The sequence below is a fragment of the Homo sapiens genome, chromosome 4, assembly GCF_000001405.40.
Source record: "Homo sapiens chromosome 4, GRCh38.p14 Primary Assembly".
NCBI lineage: Eukaryota > Metazoa > Chordata > Mammalia > Primates > Hominidae > Homo > Homo sapiens.
The window spans coordinates 57,655,528-57,681,189 of NC_000004.12; positions in this window are offsets into that span (position 1 = coordinate 57,655,528).

Sequence of the window (25,662 nt, forward strand, 5' to 3'; positions counted from 1 at the left end):
AGGTCAGCCTTTCTCTGAGATTTTGGACTGGAATCAAAGTGGTTGCTCAGGTCAAATGTGCATCAGTGTTGTGAAATAATCCCATCCATTCAGATTGGTGGTTGAATGTTTTAAATGTCACCTCTAATTGTAGGGTACAAAATTTGGGAATTGTAGGCAGCCATGTGTACTTTCATGTATACCATGTAAGCAGATAGGACCAGTCTATAAATGAGAGATGGTGAAGTTTATTCTATGTGAATTATATCTTAATAATAATCAACTTTTAAGCTTAAAAAATTAATCATAAGTAGAGAAAAAGAGATGAGAAGTGCTAAGAGAATCCTGAAGGTATTTAGGTCCCCAAATTCTCTGGTTACTGAGGTACAGATGCATCCTTATCCCATTACATTTATAGTACATTGTACTCTTTCTTAAAGCTAGCTTGATTAAAATCTGTCACTTTCAACAAAAAAGATCCTAGTTAATAAAACATTCTTCTACCTATTGGACATTTCTACTTCTATGTCATGTACCTCTAATTCTCTGCTCTTCTTCCACCAACACTAAGCTCCAGGTCTGGCACTCCCTCTGTAGCTCAGTAAGTGCTCTTTACTTATCAAAACCATGGAGCTGGTCATTATCTTTGATTCCTCCTACAATCTCATGCACTCCCTTCCAGTCAGTCAAATCCTGTTACTTATCCACCCATTTATTTCCATTGCCACTCTACCATCCTAGTCCTCACTACAATTGCCTTATTTGATCACCTTATAACTGGTCTTTCTGCTTCTAGCTTTGCATTCTCCATTAGGTTCTTACTCCAGAAAGATTTCTTATTTCACTTCACAATAGGACCCCATAATCAGAGCTCTTAGTGACCAAGTTCATTGTTGCCTCTTTAACTTCATTTCTTGCCACCACCTTTGTATCATATGCATGAACCAGGCTGAAATATGCATAGTTGCTTGATATGAAATGACTTTCCTTCTTTTGTCCTCATCAGAGCACCCTGTATGGTAAATTGCCCATTTATCCCTAGTTTGTAAGCTCCTTGCAGGCAGGGATAATGTTCTTTGTTGCATTACTATTATAATACAGTGCCTGTCTCATGATAGGCATTCAGTAAATGTTTACCGAACAAATGCATTTGTTAAATGAATGAATGGCTGCTGGATAGAAGCACAGAGCACAGAAGCAGAGATTTGAACTTGTCAGGCAAGGACGAAGTCATTTCCCATGAACTGAATGTTGGAAGGGAAGAAAGACTGTAACTCTGGGTTCAGTGTTTCATGAATTATCACTTAGCAATCTTAATAATCTTGAACGTGCAGCTCTTCACGCACTAGTTCATGTTCATCTCTCGGGACAAGCATTGATTCTTTGACATGTAGCTAGTCAGGTAGAATAGATTTTACTGTCTACAGCTGGTGGCATTTTTCTATGTGCTTTGAGTTTTTAGTTCCATGACATTTTTAAAGGTATTGCTGCTTTGATTTTTCCAGGACACTGCAGTATAAGGACTATTTGAATGTTAAAAGCTACAGCTGTGCACATTCTAGAAAAATTAACTACTTAATTGCATTAATAGGTGTCTGTTGAGGCTCAGCACTGAGTTGGTACTGGAGTAATTGGATAGGCTGGATGACTATAAGTGGGGTAGCTTATTAGAGATGTACTGGTATGCATGATTTTAAACTACCTAGGCTTAAAAATAGGAGGGTGCACAGAGATGTTTGAAAGCAGATGGTTAGAACTGTAGGACTCAACTCTTGAAAAGGCTCATAAGTCTTAGTTCACGCCAGTTCAGTTACATAGGATGAGTAATATATTTGTAACCAAAATGTGAGCTGGAGTTACCTTGCCCCTTTGGATTTAGGCAAGACCAAATCATACCCTCAATCTTTGTCTTGTGGATGCCCACTGCCTTTTTAAAGATTTTTGTAAATTCTCAAAAGACTATGTTTTCATGGTCACCTGCCTCCAATGTCCTGCCTCCACTGACTTCTTGTCATTGGTTTGGCCTTAACAGTTTCTCTATCTCTGACCACCCATTGTTGCCACTGACCCTAGTGGAAGCGCAGCCACTTCTTGATTCCTTATCAAAGCAACCACAGGTACTAGGCAGGTTGTGTGTAGCAGAACTAAGTATTGAAAGTGTATTATGGGAAGTTAGAATCCCATGTAAGTCATTCCTGGTCTTCATTCCATACAGGGAGTTCTCACTGGCCTGACTAGCCACAACAACTACTGAGGTTCCCACTTCTGTCATTTTGTGATACTTTTCTTACCCCTGTCTCCTGGATTGCCTCTGGGGAGTCAGAATTCCAACTCAATTGTGTGGCACAATTCAGTTTTCTCCATCTCTGTGCCCCAAATCTGCCTCCATTGCGTATATAACACCCATCTAGTTATTCAGGCAAACAAAAAAGACAGGGACTCATTTAGAAACACAAAAGATATCCTGACATTTTATTATTCCTTTATCAAGGCTCATCCTCCTTATAACCCTTGCGGTTTAAAATCATCCTTTTCTCCCACCGTTAATATAATACCTTAATTCCAAAATGGACATAGAGAAGGGGGTTTCTGGTCTGTTGGTGAGGAGGTAAAACTTAGTCCTCATCAATAAGCAAGTAGTCTTTCTTTGGAATGTTTTAACAGTGAGATATCACAGAATCCATTCCTACTGATCCTCAAAAAGCAGAAGACACAACACAGCTTCATCATAAGTCCTTTTTACTCTGCAAACTAGGAATCACTTGAGTGAGGAAAACTTTTTTCCTATGGTGTTCGTCTTCCTGAACAAGGACGGGTGACACACAAAACTTATTTGCTTTATCTTTCTGCCAACTTCCTAGTGAGGCTTTTTCTGACACAAAGAGTTCAGGCAAGGGCAAAGGAGAATGGAAGCATGCAGCTATGAAGCGCAGAAATACCTGTACATCTGTGGAGAGATTGTCAGTGCCTGTCTTGACATATCTTACATTGGTTTACTCTTTGCATTCTCTAGGCTGATCACTGTTCCCTTAATGTTATCTAATTTTAAGAGAAATTTGCTCATTTAGCTAAGGTTTAACTATTTAGTAAATTTTAAACCTGTTATAGTGGCTACCAACCAAATAATTTACCAAGTTATAGGAAGATAACACAAATAAAGAAAGGAGCTGATTTTAAGTTGAGAGCCAAGGCAAACAGGAGAACTTATGGCATATCTAGGAAAAGCAACAGGTACTCACCAAATGCCAAATGCTGAGTGTGACACACAGGCCAGGACACCATGCTTTTTTTTTTTTTTCACATCTGAGATCTGTCCTGTAGCTTGGTCAAAAAGGGTTGCCTTTTACAATTTGTTACCAATTAATAAAAACAAACAAAACAAAATGTGCTGTGAGGCCAATACTGTGAGCTTCAAGCAAAACAAAGCTAAGGTGGAATCTGACCTGCAGGTTGGAACTGTTTGACTGCCTCTTTTTGGTATAACTTTGGAACTTCTGTATGTACTTTGTTCTTCTTTTCCTCCCTTTTATTTGTAACTCCCTTCTACAACAATAAAAATTCTGGCTCCCATTTTCTTCAATATATGTAATCATTTGTTCAAGCCTAGAATGTATAGAATATAGTTTTGGAATTACTAACACCTACCACTGAAGAACTGAAACTATGCCTACAAGCCTGCATCTACTATCAAGACACAGAGCATTTCCATCAACCTAGAAAATTCCACTGCTTATCCTGCGTAAGCATAGTTTTTCTTAGTGTCTTTCAGCCCAATTCCCTTCTCAAGTTTCCATGGACCCGGTAATATGGGAAAGTGCACTGATGTGCTTCACAATGAGCTAAGGTAAGATTTTAGATCAAAAGAATATTAAAATGAGGGACATTTTACAAACTACCTGGCCAGTACTTCCTAAAACTGTCTGGACAATGAAAAACAAGGAAAGTCTGAGAAAGTGCCACAACCCAGAGGAGATGAAGGAGACATGACAACTAAATGCAATATGATATTTTGGATGGATTCTGGAACAGTAAAAGAACATTAATGGAGAAACAAGTAAAATCTGAGTGAAGTCTGGAGTTGAGTTAGTAGTAACATATTCATGTTATTGTTTTATATTTGACAAATGTAAAGTGATAACATTAGGAGAAACTGAAACCTGGTTAAGGGGTACACAGGAATTCTTTGTACTATCCTTGCAACTCTTCTGTAAATCTAAAGTGATTCCAAAAAATTATTAAAATTATTCAAAACATTGGGTATGAAAAGACTCATATAGGTTTGGATGGTTAAGAACCTAGGACCTGGGTCAGATAAATTTGAGGTCAAATATTAGCTCTAAGACTTGCAAACATAATTGGTAGTGATTTTGACTAAAGTCAAGTCAAAATCATCTGCTTTCAAACATCTCTGCACCCTTTTAAGCAGCAATAGCAGTTTTAAATAAAGTATAGCAAAAAATTTACAAGCTTGGACACATTATCTTGAACATACATATCTTGAACATATTAACCTCTCTTAACTGTAGCTTTCACATCTCTAAAATACAGTAATTCTTATTTCTTACAATTGATATGAGGGCTAAATGAAGAAAATCCATGTAGAGCAGCTTACGCATATCTTAGGGCCAGGAGTCCTTTTCTTGTTCACCAACGTATATCTGAAACTAGCATGACTACATATAGTAAATGTATAATGAAAATTTGTTGGTAAATAATCTTCTTTCCTACAAAATAAAAACATATTTCAAATTATTTTTCCAGAATCTATTGTCATTTCAGATTCTCTTCTAATTGTGACATCTCTGCAGTATCATGATATATGTGAGCTATTTGACTGCAATTTTTTGAGCTCCTCTTGATATAAATGTAGCCATTCTGTGCATTGGGATAATATTTTTTCAGGCTCTGGAGGTAACTCCCTGATGGCATGTACAACTGCATTCTCATTTTCAGTTTCTTGATGTGGGATGATTCTGTTCTGTGTTCTTAATGACAAAGGTCATTTGGGCCCCACCATTGGTGACATTAAAGTTACTGTGTCTCTCCTCAAATTTTAGGCTTGAAAACATTGAAACAGATGGTGATACTTGGAGGGTAATTAATTTTCCTTTGGAGCAATAATGGCTTTCCTTAAAAATAAATTAATGGCTCCCTCTTTTTCCAAGAGGTAATGGTTTAGTAAATTGAGCAATGAACTGGGCTGCTCTTGAGCAGGACTTAGGGGAAAGGAGAAATATTTTGTGATTCTGCCCTGTCTGGTTGTGTGAATTTGGGAGTCTCATGCTTTTGGCTGATTGGAAGGATTAAACAAATCAGAGCATTTAAAGCACTTTAAGGTGTGCCTGATGCAAAGTGAGGCTATAGAACTGTTAGCCAATATAATGATTAGAGGTAGAAAGATGGACACTGTTAACTGATCTTTCTGATTTTGTGTGGACACTGAAAGTCTTATGAGGGTATTACATATAAAGCGCCATAAGGTTCTGGTACAAAGGATCCACTTGCACAGGTGGTATTTAAAAAACTAATTATTGATTAATGACCAAATTGCCCTTCTTGTTTCATGTTATAGTAAGTTGATTGGAAAATATTTGAGTTTCCCTCTTCTGTTTGGACAGCAATGTATATAGTATGTTAACTACCTAAGAGATATCATCAAATGCAATCTCACGAGAAGCCCACGTTTTAATATTCAGACAACGTTCTCAATATATTTTTAAAGGTTTTTTGAAATAAAGCTTCCCACATGTCTGTATTTCAAACTTTTTATATTTTTAAACTTTGAACTTCTAGCAATTCTATGACACCAGGTATTTTGTGAAATAACATACTTTGTTTTGTTTATGTCCACAAACACATATGTAGTTATTTACCATTTGAATTCTTATAGTTATTTAAATAATGTAACCTAATGATACTGGGCAGAAAGTCATTGTGTGATCATTCTCTTGAGCTTCTTCTGGTTTAAGCTTCTGCCAGGGGCATATTTGTTGGGTAGGAATTATCATGGTTTAGCATAACAGGAGATGTATTTTAATACTTCATTCAAAACAAGAAGTGATTATTTATGAAAAAATACATTTTAAATTCCCTTTCTCTTACCAGTGTATGAAAGAACACTGAACTCCTACAGAGAGAATTGCACTGGTAAAGTGACTGCAAAGATATCCACACACCCCTCAGCACAGATTGCCCAGGGCTGCGGCAACAACAGCCCTAATTCGCCTTTTGCAGAGTATTGGAGGGGAAAATGCATGTTTTTTTCACAATTAGTTGACAAAGAGTACTTGTTTAAATATTTGCTCAATCCGGTGTATAAAGGAAGGCAGATATAAAGAACCAAGCCCAAGTACAGATCATTTTGCACAGTGTTAGCTTGTGACACAGGACGGGACCCAGAATGAAGCCAAACCCCATCTTTCAACACATGAGTTAAGTTTTATCTCCCCTATGTGGACGAATTGAAAGTTGATGTCAGATCACAATGAATATACTTTAGAGCTCATTTTTATAGTGGTCTGCAGAGTAAGCTGAATCTAATTCTCTTTGTCTTTTTCCAAACTCTGGGACAATAATTCTCAACAAATAGTAAATCAATACTATCGGTGATCTTAATAATGTTCGGAGTCAGGAAATCCTTTCAGATATTGTTTTATGAGTATAACTAGTACCTTGAGCAATAAAGACTTATAAAAAGCAGTCAAAACCCACTACTTGTTTTATTTTAATGTCTCCTTTTCTTTAAAATGTATTCAGTGGGGAAAAGGGTGTGCTGGGTCTTGGGATGAGCTTTTAGGCAGTCCTAGCATATTTCTGATTATTCTTAGAAAGTATAAATTAAATTGACCTGTGGTCAATTTAAGATGGGAGACACAGTCATGACTTCAAAATTAAATTTCAAATCTCATATATTGATTAAGTCTTCAGTCTTACTTCAAAGGTAATACTCCTGAGCCCCTTCCCCAATGAGACCCAGCAGCAGATGATGTCTTTGCCTTTGGAGAGTTGGTGGGTGTTTCTCTCACTCCCATTCTCTTTTCACAACGTGTTAACTGAGGATTCTGATCTTATCATGTTTGGAGCAGGAGAGGGAGAAGGAGAAGGGGCATCCAAGAAAGTCTTATGGATTAGTATGTCAGTAAGCTGGCTTTGTTCTTGCTGGCCTGGGTGATAATTTACACTTCTCTTTCTTTCTTGGGTGATTCTCAGAGATTTTTTTGGAAGTTCCACAGTGGAGCCAGTCACCAACCACTCCTGCCAAATAGCCAGCTCCTTCTCTTCTGTTGCTTGCGTTTGGTTTCCCAGCCACCTCTGCTTTTCTGGTTACCCTTCTATGAAGACCCTCCATTGCTGTCTCTTCACCCTCTGGCTGAGGCACCCTTGTCAAGATCCCTTTTAAAATTAACATAGACCGACACTTCTACATAGTTGTCAAATGGGCCAATGTTGAATAGTGACCTCAAAAAAATTATATCAAAATTCTTTTTTTTCTTTCCCCTTTTTCTTTTTTTAACTTTTAAGTTCAAGATTATATTTGCAGATTTGTTACATAGGTAAACTTGTGTCATGGGGGTTTGCTCTACAGATTATTTCATCACCCAGGTACTAAGCCCAACACCCAATAGTTATTTTTTCTGCCCCCTCCCTCCTCCAACCCTCCACCCTCAAGTGGACCCCTGTCTATTATACCCTTCTTTGTGTTCATGAGTTCTCATCGTTTAGCTCCCACTTATAAGTGAGTACATGCGGTATTTGGTTTTCTTTTTTTTTTAATTTTATTATTATTATACTTTAAGTTTTAGGGTACATGTGCACAATGTGCAGGTTTGTTACATATGTATACATGTGCCATGTTGGTGTGCTGTACCCATTAACTCGTCATTTAGCATTAGGTATATCTCCTAATTCTATCCCTCCCCCCTCCCCCCACCCCACAACAGTCCCCGAAGTTTGATGTTCCCTTTCCTGTGTCCATGTGTTCTCATTGTTCAATTCCCACCTATGAGTGAGAACATGTGGTGTTTGGTTTTTTGTCCTTGCGATAGTTTGCTGAGAATGATGGTTTCCAGTTTCATCCATGTCCCTACAAAGACATGAACTCATCATTTTTTATGGCTGCATAGTATTCCATGGTGTATATGTGCCACATTTTCTTAATCCAGTCTATCATTGTTGGACATTTGGGTTGCTTCCAAGTCTTTGCTATTGTGAATAGTGCTGCAATAAACATACATGTGCATGTGTCTTTATAGCAGCATGATTTATAGTCCTTTGGGTATATATCCAGTAATGGGATGGCTGGGTCAAATGGTATTTCTAGTTCTAGATCCCTGAGGAATCGCCACACTGACTTCCACAATGGTTGAACTAGTTTATAGTCCCACCAACAGTGTAAAAGTGTTCCTATTTGTCCACATCCTCTCCAGCACCTGTTGTTTCCTGACTTTTTAATGATTGCCATTCTAACTGGTGTGAGATGGTACCTCATTGTGGTTTTGATTTGCATTTCCCTGATGGCCAGTGATGATGAGCATTTTTTCACGTGTTTTTTGGCTGCATAAATGTCTTCTTTTGAGAAGTGTCTGTTCATATCCTTTGCCCACTTTTTGGTGGGGTTGTTTGTTTTTTTCTTGTAAATTTGTTTGAGTTCGTTGTAGATTCTGGATATTAGCCCTTTGTCAGATTAGTAGGTTGTGAAAATTTTCTCCCATTTTGTAGGTTGCCTGTTCACTCTGATGGTAGTTTCTTTTGCTGTGCAGAAGCTCTTTAGTTTAATTAGATCCCATTTGTCAATTTTGGCTTTTGTTGCCATTGCTTTTGGTGTTTTAGACATGAAGTCTTTCCCCATGCCTAAGTCCTGAATGGTATTGCCTAGGTTTTCTTCTAGGGTTTTTATGGTTTTAGGTCTAACATGTAAGTCTTTAATCCATCTTGAATTAGTTTTTGTATAAGGTGTAAGGAAGGGACCCAGTTTCAGCTTTCTACATATGGCTAACCAGTTTTCCCAGCACCATTTATTAAATAGGGAATCCTTTCCCCATTGCTTGTTTTTGTCAGGTTTGTCAAAAATCAGATGGTTGTAGACATGCAGCATTATTTCTGAGGGCTCTGTTCTGTTCCATTGATCTATATCTCCGTGTGGATCACAAATTCTAACTCCTAGAACTTGTGAATATGACTTTACTTGGAAAAAGAGTCTTGACGGATGTAATTCAATTAAGATCTTGAAATGAGATAATCATAAATTGTCCCAATGGGACCTAAATCCAATGACAAGTGTCCTTATAAGAGAAGTGCAGAAGGAGAAGAGAGACAGAGGAGAAGGCAGTGTGAAGGCAGAGGTGAAGACTGTGCCTACACAGCCACAGGCAAGAAAATCCTGGAGCTACCAGAAACTAGAAAAAGCATGGAAAGATTCTCCCCCAGTGCCTTTGGAGGAAGCACAGCCCTACTGACACCTTGATCTTGGGCTTCTGGCCTACAGAACTGTGAGAAAATAAATTTCTGTTGCTTTAAACCACCTCATGTGTGGTAATTTGTTATAGCAGGTAACCAATAGACAACATCTTGGCTGGACATTATCAGGTCCTGCATGATTATGATTTGACACAGCCTTCTACTCTGCTGACATAGGCTACTTTAGCCAGGCTCTCCTCTCAGATTCCTCAGGCTTTCATCAGACACTCTAGCGTGCACCCCACACTCCAGGGAGCATATCTCAAACCCTCCAAGTGTTTTCTTTGAACATCCTCTTGCTACACTTGAGGTAAGAAGAGAGGCAGCCATGGTCACCAAATCCATTTCCTCGAGGTGGATCTTATAGCACAGCTTTATGCAACGAAATCCTATTCAAATCTTTTTTCTGTCTTCTTTTCTCAATTACTTACTTATTCACTAATTTATCTGTTGTTTTTTTTTTTTGAAATGTCATTTAAATCATCAAAACTATTTGTGGTCACCAACTTTGAAAATTCAATTTACTATCAGTTGTCTGTTGGTCACTTAGTTAAAACTGCCAGCTTAACATCCTGGGTTACATGCAGATATTGGCAATGTATGGATCCTACCTACCCATCAAAACCCTGGTGCTTAATCAGATAACACAGGTAACCAGAGCCCTTACAGAATTCTAGAATTTTATTTTAAAGAGGGCTTTGTCTTGGTGTTGTACACTTTACAATACTTTCAGGGAACTGTTTTATTTGTGATGTTTGTCTAAAATTTTCAATGCAGCACCTGAGCTCTGTCTGCAGATGTCTCAGAACTTACAGTGATCTTCATTCTTTGTCCCAGGTGATGCCCTCTTGACCTAAATCTTTTCCTTTAGAGAGCCTCTCCCCCCATTAAACTACAACTCCTGGCTCTTGCAGGAGAAACATTTCTTTCTCCCTTCTTGGGTTCTATCTGCATCTCAGCCTGCCTCAAGTTTGGGTAACGCTAATTTGTGGTTGTGCAGGAAGCTCGGCAGACCCTTGCTGCCTCTAGGGCAGCTGGGGGAAGACAGTAAAAACTGCTACTACCTGCCAAGCTTTCTTTGTTCTCTGTTGGCAGAGGGAGCAGGCAGTTTCCTAGGAAGAGAGATGCCACAGGAAAAGAGCTCATGGAAAGCAGAAGAATTTCGTTCACACTGAGGTGTGGGGAGCTGTTAAATAGCTTGACTGATTTCTAATCCCAGAGGCAGGCTTAAAATATGAGAATCCATAATGGAACAACTTATAATTGCTCTCTACTATCTTACTGTAGTGGGCTTGTGTTCTTCACTTGTATACAAACTTATTCTGCCATTTCTAAATATGAGTTAATACTGAATCAACATTCTTAGGCATCCTTAGGACATTGGAAATCTTACCACCTCCCATCTCTCTTGGAGGTTTCCTACTAAAAATCTACATGAGTGAAATATCCAAATGCAGACAAAATTCTCCCTTGGGCCGGACAACATTGCTTAGGCATTCCATAACTTTCCCTGAAATCTAAGTAGTAGGCCAATCCCAGATACGTTATCATAAGGAAGCAGGAGTTCAAATGAGAAAGATAATCAGAATTATTGAAATGGTAAAGCAGAGTCAACCAGGTTACTACTGAAACCTGGCCCCCCAAAAGTTCTGGGTTTTGATGAATAATATTACCGACTCTCTTCACTGGGGTAGAGTATGGACATTTTACTATAAATACTATAAATAGGAGATAATGTCAGGGTGAAACTGTGGGCTGAAGAAAAATACTCGTTTTCCTTCACAATGATCAATGCTCTTCCTGAGTGCTGTAGTCCCCTAGAATCTCAGAGGTATCACTAGCTAAAGACTTCACCTTCTGAGGCAGAAAGATTAATTCTTATCAGAGATATTGTCATATCCATGTATAAGGATATTGTGGAGAATCAGCTGTGGGTTCAGCTTGGCCCTGAGATGAATCCCTTCATCCGCTCTACCCAGGGGATGGGATGAAGTTTATTTCTTAACCTCTCAGAGTCTCAGTTTCCTCTGTAATGCAAAGCATGAATAATATCTGGTAAAGTTGGCTTGATAATTACATGATGGGATCATGCATGTAAAGTGAACATAGAATGTTTGGCACAGGGTAGCAATTCAATCCATGATAAGGTTATAGCTATGACTTTATAATAGATGTTGGTATGCACAGCCTTTGGTTCCCAGATTCCCGGTTGTCTCCTGTGCTACTTCTAGGTAGCTTACACCTTTCCTCTTACATTATTTGGCAAAGTCCTATTTCAAGCTTTGGTTTTGTTAGTCCTCTGCCTTCCAGAAACAATTCTTCCCCTTCTTAAACGGACTCATTATTTTTCTTCCTTCTTTCATGCAGGGAGATTCTGCAGAATAGCCATGGGCTGAGAACAGAACCCTTGGAAACCATAATGTTTAAGACGTAAAAGAGGAAAAGCATCTCATCAGGGATTCAGCGAAAGGCCAAGAGGTAAGAAGAAATTCAGATATAAAAGAGCAGAGATTCAAGACAAAGTATAATACAGAACAAAATGCATTGTCAAGGTCTAGAGAAAGGACTCAAAGAAAATTCTTTATTCAGATCCATAGATGCTCTCCTGCCCATGCCTGCCGAGACTAGTCCCACACATTCATGTGCCAGTTGGTGGGTGCCCCAAGAGTCTTACAGCAGAGAATGCATAGAAACAGTTCCCTGACATGAGAACTCCTCTAAACCCAGTGAGGGTAATGGCTCAAGTGAGTGCAAGGCCTCATACACTGGGCAATGAAGTATTGGCATCCAGCAGCATTTTAGATTTGTGTGTTTGCTGTACTTGCAGGATGAAATGGGCAGTTCTGATATAGAGCCTTCTCTTTACAGGGGAAAGCAAAGGGGTACAAAAAATGCCCCCCCACGCCCGGGGCCCAGGATTTCAGAGGTTCCAGAGCTTACGCGGAGCCACTCAGTAAGGCACACTGTAGGAGGAAAGTAGGTCACTTCTTAGCTTGCTCTATAAACACCCTAGATTCAAACTCATGTATTCCTCCTCCACAGAAAATCATGTATACCAGTCATCATAAACTAGTGCCTCAAGGGAGGGATCTGTTCTTCCATAGGGTTTTATAAAATTGAATTTGGTCATGCATTCTGCCTTTTGAGCCATAGTCTCCACCACTGCCTACTCAATTTGCATTACTTGTTTATGGGCCCTATCTAGGCCCTAGAAACATCAAATCAATTTGCAAAGCTTGACCTAATCAAATCTTATGATATACCTTTGCCTCTGCAAGCTGCAAGAAAAGGTCTTTTGCTTATACCCTTTACTCTTCAAGTCTGCCTCCAATACTCATTTTAACTTGGTTTCATTTAGATGAAATGCTAGAGGTTAAGAATTTTGCCCTTACAAATTGTGACTGGCCTCAAGAGGATGCATTTCTTACCTCCAGGAAGTATTCACATAGAAGAGGTTTATCACCTCTTCTTAGGCAGAAACATGCCTGACTACCAAAGCTTCTCCTGTGAAAAGATGCTGGCACAAAAATCTTTTCTGTTTTAGCAAGAATCTTGCCTTTCGCTTTTTGTGCTGTTTCTTTTTCCTGCTCCTTGTCTTCATAACTGCCATGGTAACATGGGTCTGGGTCTGACTATTTCTTCACATTCAGTTGTGAAATGGTTTTTTTTTGACCTACTGCTTTTACAGAAGGCAGCACTTATGACCCGATTTCAAGTTACATAGAGTCACAGGAAAATGAAGCCAAACTTCAGTGTCTTTATTTGTTAAGCAGTGAACTATGTCACATACATTGTTTGCTGAGCAGGTCAGGGACTAAGAATGCCTCAGTCGGGGTATCTCAGGGCCTTCCTTCTATGAAGCAGAAGAAAAGGAGGAAATGAGACTTATTTTCCTAAGGGCCAGGCTTCAAAGAATGCAGGAGCTCTATATACTGGGGCTGGATGATGCTGACTTCCACTGCTACTTAAAGACTGATGTTTCTTATGCAGGAAGATGAAACAATGTGGGACATGAGGCTATTTTGCTGTTCCCCTAAAAGGCACCAATGGCTACCAGTGTTAGCACAATGCCTGGCACACAAAAATATTTGTGAGTTAATGGATTTATTTTTGATATTTTCATTAAGAGATTTAATATATAGGGGTGGGGGGTTGACATTAAAAAGCATCTTTTTCCAAAGGAAAACCAACTATGACAAAGTTGCTCAGTAGTAAATCAGGAGCTCTGAAAACATGATGTGAGACTGTATGAGAAAACCTGAATGTTTCAGTAATTATCTTCCCTTAAGAGCTGATGACAGATCAGATAACTTAATCAGTCTGGATTAATTAATAGGTTAATTAATAGATCTCTCACAGAAATATATTTAAACTTGCTGCCAGTATTATTCTTGTTAACTCCATATTTTCTACTAATGAAAATATGAAAATGTATAGTTTGCCATACTATATATAGAAATGGCCATATCTTTTATCTGCATGATGCTATTTATTTGAATTTTGAACTAATGTTCTCAACCTGTTAAAATAAGACAAATTACTTCCCCTGGCTACTAACAGTTTCTCTTTCCTATCTATCTATCTATCTATCTATCTATCTATCTCTCTCTCTCTCTCTCTCTCTCTCTCTCTCTATCTATCTATCTATCTATATGCAAGTTAATCAACCATCTTACCTGATTAATATGTAATTTTAATGTGTTTGGATGTTTGGATGTAGATTTGATATTTCAATGGATCATGATCCCATACAGGTGAGCTGTATGACACCAGCCAAGGACCTGAATTGCTTTTTCATATTCTTAAATTCTTCTTGCTGCTAGTAATTGGTCACTTTCTTGTCTCTTACTTTTCTTATTCTCCTCCTTTTTCTTCTCCTTCTCCTTCTCCCACTTATGCTACCTTTTTTTTTCTCTACAAAATTGGCATATGTTTAGATTGAACTGCCTAGATTAGGGAGAACCTCATATGTCTTAGACATTGTGCTCCTGTTGATAAAGAAATGCACATGACAAAGCTACCATACTCTTGAGTAAGTGCTTATAATCCATCTATAATATTTTCCTTATGTAGACACCTTTGGGAAATAAAACAATCCTGCCGACAAGAGACCCCTCTGTGCCAGTGTCTATAGGAGAATGAACACACTTTATTACAGAGGAAGCATTATCAGAGTTACATGCACGTAGGGTAGCATGAAGGTGACTACAAAGTCTGGATATAATTTCACCCAAATGTTAACAATGAAGTAGAAGAAAGAACAATGAAAATCTCTCTTGTCTCCTTGAGAGTTAAATGGATGCCCCTTGTATTTCCTGTATACTTCATGCAAGAGTTAATTTTGGAGGTACATGTTTATCATTTCAAGGGTCAGAGGCCCTGCAACCTTGCACTATAAAAACAAAGTCAGACCTCTTATTGAGTCTGTTATATTTTCAGGGAGAAACTCAAGGAGGGGAGACTGAGGAGGCAGCCACTTCATTCCTCAGAGAAAATTTCATTATTTTATTCTTGCGACCCCCAAGTTAGGTTTGTCAGGTGCTTCTTTAAGTGACTTTGATTAGTCACCAAGGTAATTCATGATGCAAGTGCTATGATTTAGAGAATGCCCACGTACTCTATTCTGCGAGTTTCAGTTGAACTAATTAACTGTGGTGGTGTGTATGATGGCGTGGTTTTCAGAGATTCAGATTGAAATTCATTCTGACCCCATTACAAGAAGGAAGATGAATAAAATGTTAGATTCGAATCTGATCTTAGTTCTGTGAAGTTGCAATGCATATAGATTCATCTAGTTGTTCATGTACTGAAGTCTCCTTGGCAAAAGTTTACCTCTTGTCATTTTTGTAGTATCATTTTTATACAGGTCATTGACTGAACTCATGATTACACAAAGATTAAGTCTCAGGAAACTCGGAGCTTTGTCAGAGCTGCCAGGGATTTATCTTGGGGGATGCAGACCAAATAATCTAATCAGAAAATTTTTCAAAGAAGACCTAGAACAGTCATATGTGATTATTGGTTGGAAACCTTTCTTTTGCTTATAGATACTAATCAGAAAATCCAGAAAAGTTATGAGTAAGAAGATAGAAGCATTCGTTAATTAATTAATTCATTCATTCAACAAACTATTAATATTTTGTAAGAGGTTGTAATGATGAAGGTCAAAGATGAAATATAATGAATCCTTATTTCTGGCCAGGTGTGGTGACTCATGCCTGTAATCCCAGCATTTTGGGAGGCTGAGGCAGGCAAATCACCTGAGATCAGGAGTTTGAGACCAGCCTGACCAACATGGTGAAACGTCATCTCTACTAAAAATACAAAAAAACTAGCCAGATGTGGTGATAAGTGCCTATAATCCCAGCTACTGGGGAGGCTGAGGCAGGAGAATCACTTGAACCTGGAAGGCGGAGTTTGCAGTGTGCTGAGATCATGGCACTGCACTCCAGCCTGGGCAACAGAGCAAGACTCAAAAAAAAGATATTTCTATATCTATATCTATCTATCTATATATATATAAAAGATATATATATATGATATGTATACTTATATATATATAGAGAGAGAGAGAGAGTCCTTATTTCTTAAAAAAAGTTTATAACTTAACAGTGACTATGTTCCATATATAGATAAGTATGAAACAAGAAAGGTTGTCAAAGGTCAGTTCCTCAGTAATGACACATGGGTGGTCAGATGAAAAGATGACCTTTACCTGGTATTAGGAGAGGCTCTGTGGAGAAGGAGGCATGTAGGCACTGAACAATGGGTAAGGTCTCCATAGATTATGACAGTGGTGTGGGAGGAATCATGAGGACACGTTCAAGGAATGGCCCAAAGTCATTTTGACTGGAGCATGTTCAAGGGGTCCTGGAAGATCAGATCAGAGATATATTTTAGAGCTACATTATGAAAAACCATAGGCAAGATTAAAATGAAATATCATATATCAGGATCATTTCTAAAGAAAGGCAGTGGGAAGGGCATAGGCTTTGGATTCAGAAAGCCCTGGGTTCAAATTGTGTTTCCTTCTTTTTCTGTTGATAGAGTCTTGAGAAATTACTGAGATAAAGTTTGCTTATCTTTAAAACTGGTGTAAAATTGCCTACCTTGCATCTTGCTATTATGTTTGGAAATGCTGGCAATTTATAAAATGCCATACAAAATTTGTTATGTGATTTAGACATTCTTCTCTGAAACTCCCCCCTCCAGAAATTTATTACTATTCTTTACTTGAGAAGGCAGAACTGGCCTGATTTATTGATTTGAAGATGAATCATATCAGAAATCAGCACTTTGCAAAGATCACCTAATGGTGTCCATTAGGAAACTAAATTTCTTTTGAGTTTTTGCAATTTCAGCTGACATCTTACATTTTGATCCAGGGTATTTCTTCCTATGTGTTAATACTGTTCTTATTGTGTCTTAACTAATTTTACTCCTCACTGTTAATTCTAATGTGGTGTTACTTCTACTTTTTGTTTTTCCTACAAGTAGCTATTTGAGCAAATTGACTTTGGAGTGTGCCCAATTACTTTATTTACCTCTTAATCCTTTCATGTCATTCTGGAAGTACTGCCTCAGGATGAGGCCCTGCAGACATGGCATTTCAAGCAGCCTATGAGGATTAGATTTTTGTTTTTTGCTTCTTGTTTTTTTTTTTTTTTTTTTCAGCATGCAAACCCAATTTGGGGAATCATCACCTCAGGCATAAGGATGATAGTTCCGGAAATGTCACTTAGAAAGGCATGTGGAATAGCCCAGCTCCCTTTTACAAATAGTTTGGTGGGGAGCAAAATACCAACTCCATCAACTAGTCAGTAGGTGGACAGACCTTTGGAAATGTCTGTAAAACCCTCTGCTAGCTGCTAATCTTCTCTCTGTAATTTCACTGACATAAGCAATAAACCCTGTAATTATATGGCACTAATCAAGAACACTGACAATAATGGAATATCAATCACAGCACTCATATGTAAACCCAGTTAGGTTCAGAGTTTAGTTTTGGCACCATCTGTAGTTTCAGTTATAACTAAACTAAAAGGAACTGATGAATGCAAGCTGGCTGAATCACATGCAGCTAAACTGTTTCTCTAAGCTATCTTGAATATGCTTTTCCAAGTGCATTATTCATTAAATTAAATGTTTTGCACTGATGTTTGAGCATGTGCAATTTCCTTCATTTGTAGTTTATAACAGCAATAACATCCCAGGCAGAGGGCATTTCCTGAGGATTAACAGCCAGCTGGGGTTAATGGCTGAAGGTAGAGCCAAAGACCATCAATTCCTTCCCTCTAGCCATTAATTCTTAGGAGATGACCTGTTCTTTCATCATTATCGCTGGCGTGTTTCTTCATCTGACCTTTATATGAAGTGATGTGGCACCACAGGAATTAATCCTTACATGGGGGTTGCAAAAGATGCATCCACTGAGTGTCTCTTAAACTTGTTTATAGGACAACAACAATTTACCTACCCACTAAATCACAAGGGATGCCCTAAATCTGTCTATCAAATAAGCAGTTTGTTCAGAATGAGCCATTTACTTTTTTTCTGTTTTTTAAAAAGCTAGCTTTTTTAGCTTCTAGCTTTCTGATGAGGAGTCAGAACTGATATTTCTGTGATTTTCCTGTTGTTTGATCATTCGTTTCTAAAACGTTCAACTCTACCAGGCAGCTCTTTTTTGGAGAAATGTCTCATGAAATGACATTTCCATCACTGTGTAGGAACTATTACCTGGTCTCTGCAGAACATTTTTCAAATGTGCACAAAGACCCCTTCTTTGGGGTTTGTGTGTGTGTTTGGGCTGAGGGGGTGGAGGCAGTGAGGAATAAAGGGATATTAAACACAAACCGTGCATCTGCTGAGAGCTCTTGGAAGATTTTGTTATTTTCAGGGACAAGGAGTCTCTTTTTCTAATCAGCTCTTCATTATTGTCTCGGTAATTATCATGTTCCCTGAAGATTTTTATTCTTGTATTTTCCCTTGAAAGAATAATAATGGTTAAATTATTTAATAATGTTGCTTTGTCTTTTATCTGGTCTCTCACCTGAGAATCTCAAGGTGCTTTAAAGAGATTAATTATGATTTACAAGACTCACAAAATGGATCTTAATTTGAAGCATTTTGAAAGCTGTGAGGCCTTGATAAATTAAGGTAATAGAAGCAGAAACCTGAAGTTGGGGTTCATTTGTTTGATTGTAGATGAAAGAGATTTCCTTCTCAGGAATCCTGTGACATTTTTTTTTTGTTCCAGATTAGGATAAAGGATGTAAGACTAGATTCATGAAAGCAAATTAACTTCTCCTAAGCACTGTGAATTAACTTTTCCTAAGCACACTACCTGTGCTACTTGTCACCAGGGGAACAGTGCTACCTCCTCAGAGCAGTGCATTAATCAGGACTTTTCAGGTCATAGGTGACTGAAGCCTGACTAATAATGGCTTAAGTAAGAAAAAGAAATTGGCTGATGTAAGTGAAAAATTCAGCCGTAGTTTGTCTTCAGCTAGACTCAGCAACTCAGATACGTTCATGAGGAGTCTACCTTTTGGCTCTGCTTTTCTGGTGGGGCTTCATTTTTCAGGTGGGCTTTCTGCATACGATGCTCCCAGCAGCTTCAGACTTACTTACATTCTACAAGTTTAGCAACCCTTGTCCAAAAAGCTTCTCTTTCCTAAGAGTGAAACATGTGCATTCATCTGGCTTTGATCATGAGTTCACCCCCGAACCAATGACTTCAATTATTGTGTCCAGTGGGATGAAATATTGATTAGCTGGGCTGGTTTATGCTACTGCTGTTGAAGCTGAGGATTCAGTGAGCCACATCCAAGCCAGGTTGGTTGATTTGGAGAGTAGCGATGGTTCCTGAAAGGAAAATCAAGGTATAATTTCAGGAAGGAAGTGGAATGATTGTTGGAGAATGAGAAAAAACAGATATCCACAAAAGGTAGCAGGATTTCAGTATTTATATTTACTTCTAGCACAAATAATTGAAGACCTCAGAGATAAAACTCAAAATCTCAGTCCTTTATAAATATAATTTTTATTAACATACCACTTTCAAAATGTATGTGCCTTGGAAACCAGTCTCATGAGATATTTCTTCAAAAAAAGCGTTCAGTGATTACATAAATTTGAGAAACACAGAAAACTGTAACCTTCCTTGGATATACATTAAGTATTAAATAAGCCAGTATGCCCTTATAACAAGTTTCACTGATGCATGAATTTAACATAGACATCATTTATTCATATATATGTGTGAGCATGATTCCAAAATTTATAATGTCGGTGATCAAAAATGTGATTGATAGACGTTGTGATGGTCTTTTGAGGCAGTATGGCACTAGGAGAGAGAACAGACCACTAAACAAAAGTAGGCCATGGTTCTCAGGTCCAACTGCAGAAACCAATATTGGCCGTTCAACTGGTTATGACGGGAAGTTTCCATGGAAAGTCACACTTCCTAATATAATTAGTACCAGATTTCCCAAGAGCATGTAGCATTGGATAATCCGGTGATCAGTCTGTGGTTGTGTGTTAAAACATACTCAGTAGATTTAAGCTATAAAAAATCTGTCTGTCTGAGAAGACCCCAGATATTGTTTATGGTGCTAGTTCCAGGGGATTGGATTAGTATGAATGAAGAAGAGCAGCAGGACTCTCTTCCCCTAGTTAGAAGTCCAGGGCAAATCTCCAGACCTGGAACTAGCCGTGGAGGAGAGCGGTAGCCCAGTAGGCAGAGCGAAGATATAGGGGTTGTGAAAAAAGGCTGAAGAAGCAGCCAAGGAAAAAACAAAACAAAACAAAAAACCATTGGTGGTGCATATTCAGGATAGGTGTGTGAGTGTATGGGAAGATACCTGAGAGACTAAGTGGCTTTCTGGGAATATAGCTTGACACATGCGTGAAATTGACAACATGTTGAGAATATTGCCATGATATAGCGGAAGAACTTTAGAACAAGAAACACCAGAGTGAGAATACCAGCTTGCAGAAATTACAAGCTGGGAAAGCTCCTTAATTATGCGGAAACTTGGTCTTATCTGTAGTGGAAATAATAATATTTTCCTTGGAGGCATGTTGTGAATATAATAGGTATGATATTTTACCTTTATGATATTGGGTATTTAAAAAACATTTTGTTCTTTATTTCTTTATGACTGAATGTAGCTTAACTCAAGAGTATGTGTTTCTTCTCATAAGTGAGAAATATGAAGACATGCTGCTGATGGGAAGAGAAGAGTTTAGTTGGTATTGCTGGTTTCTGACCCTGGTAGCATCTGTTGAAGTATAACTTTGAGAGGTGAAGCCAGCTGGACTTCCAGGTCAGACGGGGACTTGGAGAACTTTTCTGTCTTACAAGAGGATTGCAAAATGCACCAATCAGCACTCTGTAAAATGGACCAATCAGTATTCTGTAAAATGGACCAATCAGCAGGATGTGGGCGGGGACAAATAAGGGAATAAACGCTGGCCACTCCAGCCAGCAGCGGCAACCTGGTCCTTTACAGCTTTGTTCTTTTGCTTTTCACAGTAAATCTTACTGCTGCTCACTCTTTGGGTCCCTGCCACCTTTAAGAGCTGTAACACTCACTGCGAAAGTCCGTGGCTTCATTCTTGAAGTCAGTGAAACCAAGAACCCACCGGAAGGAACCAACTCTGGGCACAACTTGACCAAACAGACCCTAAGTGTTGCCTGCTGGTCCTACTGAAACTGCTTCTAATGTCTTTGGACTTTTCATGGCCTCCAGTTTTGGAGTCCACTAGCCCCTTATGTTAACTATGAGGGTCTTTCTGGTATACCAACTCTCCTTTTTACTTCTGTGTCCCTCTGAGGGGTTTAGGAGACTGCAGTTTCTTTTCTATCAGGTTCCTATCAGGCTCATCCTCTTGGACTCCTGTCTTAGTCCCTGCTACTCATATTGCTATGTCAGACATAGAGTTTTTCTATAAAGCATAAATACCCTTAGGATATACCCTGGAAAGTTATGTAATTAACCTTTTTTTAGAAAAAATTATAAATTTTGGTAAAATATACCTAACATAAAATTTACCATCTTACCCATTCTTAACTGTAGAGTTCAGTTGTGTTACATGTGTTCATGTTATTGTGCAACCAGTCTTCAGAATTCTTTTCATCTTGCAAAACTAAAACCGAATACAGCCCATTGTCCCATAGAACTGATGTTTACAGTCTTTTAAAATAAACATAGAAATTGATCCTCTTAGTCTTAAAGCTTGAGACGTAACATATGTCTTATCTGAGTTCTTTCCTCAGGGAACTGTTCTTCAGGCCTCCCCAGTAGTATCAAGGAACTGAAGCTCGCCAGATCACTACATTCCAACAATGTGAAGCCAGATCTTTCATCCCTCATGATTTCCTTTCCCCACCCTAATTCCTGTTTACCTACATGTGGTTATTATACATTCTTTCTCTTTTATATAAACTTCCAATTTTAGTCAGGGAGATGGATTTGAGAGTGATCTCCCATCTCCTCAGCAGCAGGACCTGATTTAAGCCTCATTTCCTGGCAATACTTGATGTCTCAGTGATTGATTTTCTGTGCAGTGAGCAGCAGGACATAAACCCAACCGCTGGTGTTTGGGTAACAAAACTTTATACTCATTAAACACCTCCCTTGCTTCCCCTCCTCCCAGCCCCTGACAACCCACATTCTGCTTTCTACCTCTATAAATTTGACTACTCTAGGTATCTCAGGTAAGTGGAATCATACAGTGTTTATCTTTTTGTGACTGGCTTATTTCATTTAAAATAACGTTTTCAGGGTTCATAATATTGTAGTATAGGTAAAAATTTTCTTCCTTTTTAAGGCTGAAGAATAGTTTGCTGTATGTATATACCACGTGTTATTTATGAAATGATGATCTTTTACACTTTCAGGGCTCTCATAACTTATCTGATGATCTATCACAGTTTCTATCATTTCACTGTTTTTCCTAGCTGAAATTAACTTTTTGGCATATCCTTGGCATAAGACCCTGGGGAATAAAGTTCTTATATAATCCCACATTTTATTTCGCTTCTAGTCACTCTATGGTTAATGGGTAAATTCTCAGCTTTGACTGTCTTAGATTTGGCTGCCGATAAGTAAAGCGAGGTGATTAGAAATTGAAAGAAAGAAAAAAAAAAGCAAACACAACATTTTTCCCCCAATCACCTGGATTCTGCAATGGAAAAGAATGGCTTTTAGTGCTATTGTCTCTGTTAAATATTTATAAAAGTCTGTGGAAGTGCTTGACGAAAGTCATGAATTTGACATGAATTTTTCTGTCCATATTAAATTCTAAACCAATGGCAGTATGTATAGATGACCATTGCTGCTATTTGAAAAATAGGAGGAAGCTCATGAGTAAAAGGAATGAAAACAAAACAACCAACAACCTATATCCATATCAAAGCATTACCCTGGTATGTAAGAATTAGAGCTAATGTATGTTAAGCATCTGACACATAATAAATATTTTTAAAATGTGGCTATAATTATAGCATATTCACCCTTTTTGGTAAGATTTTGAATAAACGTTGACAGTAAATTTTAATTTGCTTCAAGGTTATACCCTCAAGTAAAGGCTTGACAATTTGGAATTTTGTGCTGGTGACTGAGAGAGGATATTTATGTGCTTTGAATAACAGATATGGTAATAGAAAGCTGATGCTCTATTTTCAAAGTTGAAAGAATGGACACTGTCTTCTTACAAATGGAAAGGGCCACCCTATCGTCTTCTATCTGAACATGGTAATTTACACTTACATGTAACATCATACTTTAGAACAATTGTTGTAAGCATAATAAATATCCATATATCTATATAAGATTAATTATGTTTAGTCTTATACCAGTAACTTAGATAATCCTTATGTAAAGAGAATATAGTTGGGCTCATCTTTCCCTCATTTAAATGGAACCTCAGGCTGCACCTAAGAGGCAATAAATGTATGGGTTCAAGGTATGGGCTTTGAACCCATAGGGAGCTATGCGTTCAAACCAGGCTTTGCTGTATGCTAGCTGTGTGAGCTAACGAACATTATTTAACCTCTTGCCCAATTTTGTCTACCTGTAGATAGGGATAAGATAGTACCTACATTTTAGAGTGAGCATTAAATGAAATAATAATCAAGTATTTACTATTTATTTTATTATTATAGATAAAGTCTTTACAACGGTAAAGTATGTGACACATGATAGGGGACAGCTAAAGTAGCTGTTATCATTCGTAGCTCCTACCCTCGTTTGTGCTGTCAGTTCCACCTTGCAGTTCTTAAAAAAATGTATTATCTTTCATGGCAATTTGCTATTATTTTCTGAGTATCGTTGGGGTTCTTATTTTCTACCATGAGAGCCATCTTCAGTTTCTTCTATGTAGTCATCCTGAGCCCAATGGCTGAAGTTTCTTGTCTTTCTTATAAGACATCATTGTTACAGCCAAGACCAAGGGCCTATAAGGTCTCTTCTGGTGAGGAGTGAGTGCTGCTTGTATTGATTTGCCTCTAAAACCATTCCTCACCCTGGACTGGCTTCCCTTGCCTGCCCAGTTGTCTTGATTCTGACTACTCAAAGGTGTGACTGTTAGAGAGTGCTGTTTCTCTGAAAAATTTCTTTGCTAGAATGTCTTTTGCAAAACAGAGGAACACTGTATGTTCTTCCTTTGCAATACAGCCTCGTGTTACTTGATTAGTTTCATCAGAACCTATATTTTATCATCCGGCTCTTACTTTTATGTTTGAAAGAAATCCTTCCCTTCTCCTAATCATTTAAAGAAAATCAGAACAAATACACCAACAAAAGCAGTTAATATATAGCATTTCTAGTAGGTTCTTACCAAGAAAGGAAAGTCTACCAAGGACGTTAAACCATTTATTAATTCTATTTTTATCTAAGGGGGAACTATTCCCTGATCTTTAAACTAAGTTAGATCTTAGAATAATTAATCAGTTGAAGACCAGCAATAGCCTGGGAATTCAAGCTTTTGATAGGTACACAGCATCGTTAATGGAATTTTTATTGTAAAAAAATCATTTCTTGAACATACACTATGCAACATTGCGGCAGTTGCTGAAAACTGTTTTAGAGGAAAATAAAATATTCCCCACCATCATGATTACACCCACATTTGGCATCTGCAGCCATGCACGTGTATGCCACCAGCCCTCCTGTAGCTGTGCACGTGCACACTACCTTTCACATGCATCTGGTCCCTGCAGCTGACCATGTGCACGCTGCTGGCCCTAGGCGTCTACCCCCGACTGCACAGTGGGTTTGAAAAAGTATGGAGAGATACAGAGTTATCTCAGTTTGATTAGAATTTGGCTTTTTTTTTTGGCCATCTACCTAATTATACCTTGTTTTAAGGGAGAACAATGGCAAGAAGGAGAGAACAAAGAATATAAGGTTAAGACTCAATACTGAAGTTCAAAATCTGTCTCAATGATTACTAGCTGGGTGATCTTGGAAAAGCCACTTGGTATCTATGACAATTCTATGATAATTCTATTGGATGTGTGTCAAATTCTTTACCTTCCTTCTATATCTATGTGACTGCAGCTGGTCCCAGTAAGAGGTACTATCTTGACTGTGGCTTTGGCTTTGTAATTATTTTGGCCTAAAGAATGAGAGGCCAACAGAGTGAGTGACTGCGTGGCATTTCAGAGCCCAGACGTCTCATCACATGCAGACAAGAGACTCCAAGAAGGATAGGTGTTCCCAGCTGACAACTGGCCATGCCCTAGAAGTAGCCAGTCTCCTACCTGAAATACAAGGACAGCAAATGCTTGAGGGAGCCCAGCAGATACGAGAAGAATCTTGCAGCTGAACCCAGTCTCCATTATTGAATAGTAGAATCATAAAATAAATATAAATAATTGTTGTTTTAAATCACTAAATTGATTTAGTGGATATCTGAGATATTCAGATTTATAAAATGAAATTATTGTAGCTGTCCCCAAAGGTTGTTATGAGAACTGAAGACATGAGAAATGCTAAGAGCCTATTACTGTGGCTGGCATATAGCATGTGTTTAATTCAACTCAGTTCCCATTTACACCTCTTTTATCAACTCCATCCCCAACTTTTCACCCCATCTCTTCTGGAAACTTTTTCTTTTCAAGTCAAAATAAGAAATAGTCAACCTTTTAAAATAATTTGATTATCACAACCTTTTGAATAATTTAATTGCTAAGGTGTTGTCAATATGTAATAATGAGGA